We start from the raw sequence: 7,833 nt of genomic DNA, 5'->3' as shown, positions 1-7,833 counted from the left end.
ACACACACACACACACACACACACACACACACGAGAGAGAGAGAGAGAGAGAGAAGAAAAGAGAAAGTAAAAAGAATCCCACCTTTCAAACTTACCAGAAATGTCTTCAACCTAGTCATGGAACAAGCCCTAGAGTGGGAACCCTGAAGCTGGGTTGTAGCTGTGGGGCCCTGGCAGAGCACTAGGCCTCCCTTCTTTCTGTTTCTCAGTGAGATGAGTGGAAAGGCTGCCTCCTGCTCCAGCATCAGATGAGATGTGCAGGGAACTGTGGACTGCCTGTGTGTAGCGGCACAAGTGCACATCGAGCCCTCCACTGTGTGGAGCGCTGTTTCCCCCAACACACCCAGTCACCCTGTGAGGTTGGCAACAGGGTTGGCACCATTAGCTCCTCCATTTTGTAGCTGAGAAACTGAAGCTCAGAGAGTAACTTTCCCTAAGTCACATGCTAGTAAGTGCCTGGCAGAGGTTTGTACCAAGGCTCACTCATGCCTAATCGTGATGAGGTGGTCATCTCCTAAATGTCATTACAGTTTGCATTGCTGTCTCAAGCTTGCACTGTTTGCTTTGGGTTGGGGTAAAGAAAGACTCATGCTGTAGGGTGGTGCCTAGAAACAGGAAGAGCAGCAAACACAGCAGTATCCTTCTTGGCAAAGCTCCCTGGACTCACAGAGCTGGGTCCTCTGGCTGAAGAAGAATCTCCTTGTTAGAGTTTGGGGGCTGCCCCTGCCCAATGAGGTGGCCAGGCCTTCTCTGGGGCTCACACAGCCTCAACCCTCATGGAATTGTTTCTCCTGCCCCACCCCTCCTGAGTTTTTTCTGTCCTGGCTGTGGCCGCAGCTCTTGGTTGACTCATTCCCATCAATTTCTAAAGCTCAGTTCTGTCCTATCCCACCCAGTACCTAGCCTGGCCCCCTGCTGCTAGCTGTCTTTACAAGTGTGCCTTGTACCTACCAAATCTTGAATTTCTTTCCTGTGCCTCCCAGTTTGCACCCACCCAACCTGGCCCCAACACACATGCACCCTGGCATTGCAGCCAGACATCTGAAGGAAACTGACTTGGCTAGGAACCTAGAGCTGCAGCACTAGCTGTTAGCTAGCGAGCACTTGCAATGTGCCTGGTTCTTGTTGAGATGTGCTGGAAGAATGAAACACACAGCAGAGTTTTGAAGACTTATTATAAAACACAAAGATGGAAAATCTCTCTCTCTCTCTCTCTCTCAATAGCATCTCACTTGGTTGCCCAGGCTCTAGTGCAGTGGGTGCCATCGTAGCTCACTGTAACCTCAAACTTCTGGGCTCAATTGATCCTTCAGCCTTAGCCTGCAAAGTAGCTGGGACTATAGGAGCACACCACCACGTTGGCTAATTTTATTTTATTTTTTACATTTTTGTTTCTTTTTTTCCTTTTTTTTTCCACACTGGCTAATGTAAAAAAAAATTTCTTTTTAAGAGACAAGATCTCGCTATGTTGCCCAGGCTGGTCTTGAACTCCCAGCCTCAAGCATGAGCCACAGTACCCAGCCTATATTTTAAAATATAGATTATATGTTAAATAGTATTTTAGATATATTAAATAAATATAATGTTACAATTTATTTTACCTGTCTCATTTTCTTTTTTAATATGGCTATGCCATGAGTTTAAATCACATATATGGTTCTTTTTATATGTCTCTTGGACAGCACTGATCTAGAAACTCAAAATCAGATTCTGCCTGGGCCACTCACTTGCTAGGCATCTCTAGAAGAACTCTCACCTTTTCTGGGTTCAGTTTCCTCAGAATAAAATAGATACCCAAAGGGCTGCCATGCACATCTCTTCCAGCTCACTCTGAGCGGCCCTTCTGAGAGGGCAGCCAGGGACACACCCGGCTTTCTTAGGGGTGAATCTCTTTTCTTTCTCTTTTTCTAGTTTTCACTTAATCCTTTAACATGTATTTAATAAGCACAAACGATGTGAGTCAACTCCTTCTGCTTTCTCAGTTGATAGCCCTGGTGATCACTTTTCTAACCTAACAAACATTCTTTTGGGGACAGGAAGTCATTCTGAATGAGAGCAAATCCCGTTGATGGCCAAGGGCCCTAGAAGCCCCAACCAGGCGGACAGCTTTTGGAAAAAGATGCATCCTGTGCTTTCATCATTACCTAAGGGTGATGGGACCCCTCATCTGACATTGGTCTGCGGGCCCAGAATTCAAACTTCTGTCTCTGTTATCTGAATTCACAAGGCAGGGAGGTAATGAGAATCCACCAAGACCTGTTGGGCCAAGAGACAAAGAGGAAGTTACACTAGTCAGCAAGTTCCTTTGTGTCCTTAGTTTACAGATCATCCCAGGACCTTGGATATTTTTGAGATGTTTGTTCATTGGGTAATTTGGGGTCCTCTCTTGCTTTCTCTCCTTCCTTTCCCACTCCTGAGAGACACTTAGAGTCACTCGGTCTATAATACATCAACTGGTGCTATTTATTGAGCACTGAGGGTATATCAGGCACTGAGCTTTTCTATGCATATCTCATCTAAATCTTTCAACAACCCTGTGGGGTAAATACTATTACTACCTCTGGCCGGCTGGATGCGGTGGCTCATGCCTGTAATCCCAGCACTTTGGGAGGCCGAGGCGGGCAGATCATGAGGTCAGGAGATCGAGACCATCCTGGCTAACACGGTGAAACCCCGTCTTTACTAAAAATACAAAAAAAAATTAGCCGGGCTTGGTGGTGGACACCTGTAGTCCCTGCTACTCAGGAGGCTGAGGCAGGAGAATGGCGTGAACCCGGGAGGTGGAGCTTGCAGTGAGCCGAGATTGCACCACTGCACCCAGCCTGGGTGACAAAGCTAGACTCCGTCTCAAAACAAACAAACAAACAAACAAACAAACAAACAAACAATTACTACCTCTGGCCTACAGTTGGGGAAACCAAAGCTCAGAGACACACAACAAAGGTCTATTACGAACCATGCTGCCATGAAACACAAGCTCAGAGGACTTTGCCTGAAATCATAACCAAGAGAGAGATGAAGCCAGGACTCATGGCCTGATCAGACTTCAAAGTTCATGCTTAAAACACTTTGATGTTTTTTGAATGTGTATTTTAATTTTTAAATTATGAATCATGCACATGCTCTGTCTGTCTGTCTGTCTGCCTCTCTTGTTGCCCAGGCTGGAGTGCAGTGGTGCGATCTCGGCTCACTGCAACGTCCACCTCTCTGTTTCAGGCAATTCTCCTGCCTCAGCCACCCGAGTAGCTGGGATTACAGGTACACGCCACCACGCTGGACTAATTTTTGTATTTTTAGTAGAGATGGAGTTTTACCATGTTGGCCAGGCTGGTCTCGACCTCCTGACCTCAAGTGATCTGTTGAGGTCACTCTGTTTCCCAGGCTGGAGTGCAGTGGCGTGATCTTGGCTCACTGCATCCTCCACCTTCCAGGTTCAAGCCATCCTCCCACCTCAACCTCCCAAGCAGCTGGGACTAAAGGTGCACATCACCATGCCTGGTTAATTTTTTTATTTTTTGTAGAGACAAGATTTCACCATGTTGCCCAGGCTGGCCTCGAACTCCTGGGCTCAAGCAATCCACCCACCTCAGCCTTTCAAAGTGCTGGGATTACAGGCAAGAGCCACTGCACCTGGCCATTTACATTTTAATCACTATTGATACATTGTTTTTGGAAAAGCCTTTACTCCTTCTCCTCTACCATTATCTGAGAGTGCCTGTTTCCCTACATCCTCACCAGAACTATGCATCTTCTGGCTTTATAATTTTTGTCTAAGAGGCTCTTTGTAATATCCACTAACCCTCCTGCCCCATTTCCCTGCCTCAGAACCCCTAACCCATCATGCCTTAGGTTTTGTGCTATACAGCCATAGTGACCACACCATAGTCCTAGTGTGGGGTCATCCCCTGGGTGACAATTTGTCCCCTATGGTGACATCTGGAGACATCACTAGCATCCGCTGTTTAATATTTATTGGGAACCTGCTGTGTGCTGGGCCTACACAGCAACAAAGACCTTTGGGAAGAAAACATGCAGTGATCTGAAAGGCAGAGATTACTTAATAAAAAGCGACAGCCCCATCAGAGGCCACAGGGGGACCACTGTTTCCCTGGGCTTCTGTGTGCTCCTGGTGAAGCAGGTGGGGGTGTGTTCCCCTCTGAGAAGCCACATTAATACGGCAGCTGGTCTCCTACAGGACGTCTGTGCAATTCGATGGAGCTCATCACTTTTCGGTCTATGAGCAATTAAATTGCACCAGGAAGCCCTGTATCTTTATATCATCCCCTAATGACTTGGGGTGGGGAGAAGAGTGTGGACACAAAGAGCCCACACCCGTGGGTAATTGGCAAAGTTATCACCTTTCTTCCGAGGCCAAATGTCCAGTGTATTTCCAATTCCTCTACCCCTGCCAAGACCAGAAAACAACTGGCTTTGTCCCTGGCATGCACCTCTGGAATTAAATGTCATTTGCAAAGCCCATAATTGCTCAAAGAGACAGCCACTTCTTTTTGTCTTTCTCAGACTCTGATACCTTTAACCCGGCCCACTCCCGCTCCCTGCTCCGCTGACTTTTGTTTCCCTGAGTCCCATCCCAGAGCCTGTCAGATTACATTTTTTATTTTATTGAGACAAAAAGCCATCTGGAGCTCCTGGTCTCCACTGTCAGTGGGCTGCCGTTCCCGGGGTCTCTTGCCAGGCTCCTGATTAGGAGTCGCCCCCCCCAGCCCTCAGTCTTTATGTTTCACCCCTCGCTCTGCCCCTCCTCGGCTGTGCTGCCTTTGTCCCCCTGCTGCTCTCGCCCTATCACTGGGCTGCAGCGTACCTTGTCGTGGCAGAACAATGCAGGCTGTCAGCTCTTATTAAGTGCATGGGGTGGGGGAAAGCGCCACAATTTCAGGTGGCTGAAAGCTTACAAATTCTTCATTTGGTTCTACGAGCCCCGAGTTTCTCTCCTGGTTGCCAATAATACTTATTTTAGGCTGCAGCTATTCTTCTTTTCTTTTCTTCTTGCCCCTTAAACCTAAACCTAAATAGCCCTTTAGGTGAGAGCCTTTGTAAGGTCATCGAAGCCAAGGACACAGCCCTGGAAGTGGGTGGGAGACAAACTTGTCCCTCCTTAGCTCCAACAGCCCAGCAGGGAGCAGATCAGTGGATGCCGGTGTAGGGGGGCTGGGGGTGGAGTGGTGGTAAGAAGAAAGAGAGGCCACTGCCCCTCCCCTGCAGGCTGGGCAGGGTACTAGGAATTCCACTTGTGGTTTTGTATTTGTGTGCATGCGTGCATGTGTCGGCATTGCAGGGTTAAACCCCAGGCCCACGTGACCTCTGGAGTCCCAACGTGCAGAGAAAGGGCCCCTGGTGGAAAGCATAAGCCCCTGCCTATCGTGTGTCTTTTCCAAGCAGAAGGGGAGTTTTGCCCTAAGATGGGATGAGGTGCAGGCGTGGCTGCTGGAATTCTCTTGTGGGAGCGCTGAAGGAATCAATGTGTTTGGGGAAACTGTGTGACCAGCAGGTAAGAGAGTGGGTGTCACTCGTACATAGCTCCCACTCTGCTCGGTGGGAGCCATGTGGCCTTTGGGCAACAAGTGTAACTTCTCAGTATTTTCAGCTATGACAGTAATCATATCTACCTCATAGGGCTGATAGGAAGCTTGGATGCAACACAGGGTTTAAAGCTTCAAGCATTGGCCAGGCGCAGTGGCTCACGCCTATAATGCCAGCACTTTGGGAGGCCAAGGAGGGTGGATCACCTGAGGTCAGGAGTTTAAGACCAGCCTGACCAACATGGCGAAACCTCGTCTCTACTAAAAATACAAAAATTAGCCGGGCGTGATGGCGTGCACCTGTAATCCCAGCTACTCAGGAGGCTGAGGCAGGAGAATTGCTTAAACCCGGGAAGCAGAGTTTGTGGTAAGCCCAGATTGTGACACTGCACTCCAGCCTGAGCAACAGAGACTCCATCTCAAAAAAAAAAAAAAAAAAAAAAAAGCTTCAAGCATCATGCTTAGCTCAGAGTGAATGCTCAGTGAATGTTGGCTGTCATAGTTAGCTCTAGTTCAGGCTTCAGACTCCAGACCCCCTACTCTCTCAGTTTTTATTTGGCAGTGGTATCATTCATCTTTGAACTCCCAAGGTAGACAGTCACCCACCCTTGGGGAACTTCCCGAGAGCTGAAGGATGGGCCAGAGGTCTCCTGCACGGGATGTGCCTTCTCAATATCCTCTCAGGGCCAGTACCTCACCCCACATTGGTGCTCAGGGAGATACCTCACAATTCTTCCCCTCTCGGATTGCTTCAGGATAGTGAAAGGTTGCAGAAAGGTCAGTAAATCAAAAATAGTGTGTTTAAACTGAAACTCAGCCAGGGCTCTAACTTCAGATTCCACATCATCTCCAAAGAGGGAGCAGACTCTTATTTAAATAACTCAACAATTGGTCTTTAGATCAGAAGCCTAAACAGAAGCATAAAGAATGATGCGTTCATTGTTCTCCCCTCTCATTTGACATTAACCTAAATTTGGCTTTGAGCCGATTCATCCCAGCAGTCAGCAAGGGGCGCCGTACAAGAGTCCCTCAGTGAATGCCCATCCACAGATGAACACTCGCCTCATCTTTCTAGAGGGGATGCGGTGGGGTGGGAGGGATCTCGCATTTCCTGAGCACAGACATTTTCTGTTTAATTCTCACAAAGTCTATGAAGTAGGTTTTATTACCCCCATTTCCCACACAAATAAATGGTGATCCAGAGAGTTTAAGAAACTAGCCTAAGGCCTTAGAGCCAAGTAAGGAGTCAGGATCTGTCCCAAATCTATCTATCACCAAATCCAGGCTTTTCACGCCATGCCAGCACCTCCAGTGGCCTTTAATTAATCTCCTAATAAAGGCAGACATGATACCTGTCAAGGTTTGTCAACAGTTAACATGTTCAAGTGTTCAATTTTCACAAATAATCAACTGGTTTGACCTTAATTTATCAAGCCAGTATGGAAAGACATACAGCATCTTTCCCAAAACATCGAAATTGCTTTGAGGCTCAGCTTTTCGCTAATGATCACAAACTACCTTGGGGAACAATCATTTTTGAAAATGAAGCTGGTCACACACTTGCAGTGGACAAATACAGCCCTGAGTCATCTCACAAATCTTTCTTTAATGAGCATAGCAGTGGACGTTATGCAGTGTTGGCTATGCTGACGTTGCTGGAATATTTGGGAGTCTGAAGGCTTGTATGGCTTTGCTTTTAAATATATTTATAGTAGAAACTTTCCTTATTTCCAATGGTGTTATAGCAGGAAAACAAAATGGTTGGCATACGGCTAAGCAAATGGTTAAAAGTGAAACCATCGCCTGTAATTCCAGCACTTTGGAAGGCTGAGGCGGGCAGATTGTCTGAGCTCAGGAGTTCGAGACCACCCTGGGCAACATGGTGAAACCCCATCTCTACTAAAATACAAAAAAATTAGCCAGGGGTGGTGGCACAACTGTAGTCCAAGCAACTCGGAAGGCTGAGGCACGAGAATCGCTTGAGCTTGGGAGGCAGAGGTTGTGTGCAGTGAGCCAAGATCATGCCACTGCACTCCATCTTGGGCTACAGAGTGAGACTCTGTCTCAAAAAAAAAAAAAAAAAAGTGAACTACCTATGTAGGAATGCAGAGATTTTCACGTGTGCCTGCTACAGAAATTAAACTATTTTCCATCTTTGGACCCCAGCACTTTTTTTTCCCTTCTCTTAGATAATCAAACTAGGAATGGTTTCTAAGGTTCCTCCCAGACTCAGTTTCCTATAATGTTGTGTCTCAATACCAGGCACCTTTGAAGATGGTATAAAACATGATTA

The 7,833-nt window shown here is 47.1% G+C and overlaps 2 annotated features.

The window, feature by feature from the left end:
• Window positions 4,518–5,137: an enhancer, noted in NCBI's record as "H3K4me1 hESC enhancer chr17:55839580-55840199 (GRCh37/hg19 assembly coordinates)". NCBI's record gives its function as "activates a minimal SCP1, AML or CMV promoter by ChIP-STARR-seq in naive H9 embryonic stem cells {active_cell/tissue: H9 hESC(naive)}" and the evidence as "EXISTENCE:reporter gene assay evidence [ECO:0000049][PMID:30033119]".
• Window positions 5,138–5,758: an enhancer, noted in NCBI's record as "H3K4me1 hESC enhancer chr17:55838959-55839579 (GRCh37/hg19 assembly coordinates)". NCBI's record gives its function as "activates a minimal SCP1, AML or CMV promoter by ChIP-STARR-seq in naive H9 embryonic stem cells {active_cell/tissue: H9 hESC(naive)}" and the evidence as "EXISTENCE:reporter gene assay evidence [ECO:0000049][PMID:30033119]".

The sequence above is a fragment of the Homo sapiens genome, chromosome 17 (assembly GCF_000001405.40).
Source record: "Homo sapiens chromosome 17, GRCh38.p14 Primary Assembly".
NCBI classification, from domain to species: Eukaryota; Metazoa; Chordata; class Mammalia; order Primates; family Hominidae; genus Homo; species Homo sapiens.
This window is presented reverse-complemented; position numbering and strand designations above follow the sequence as displayed.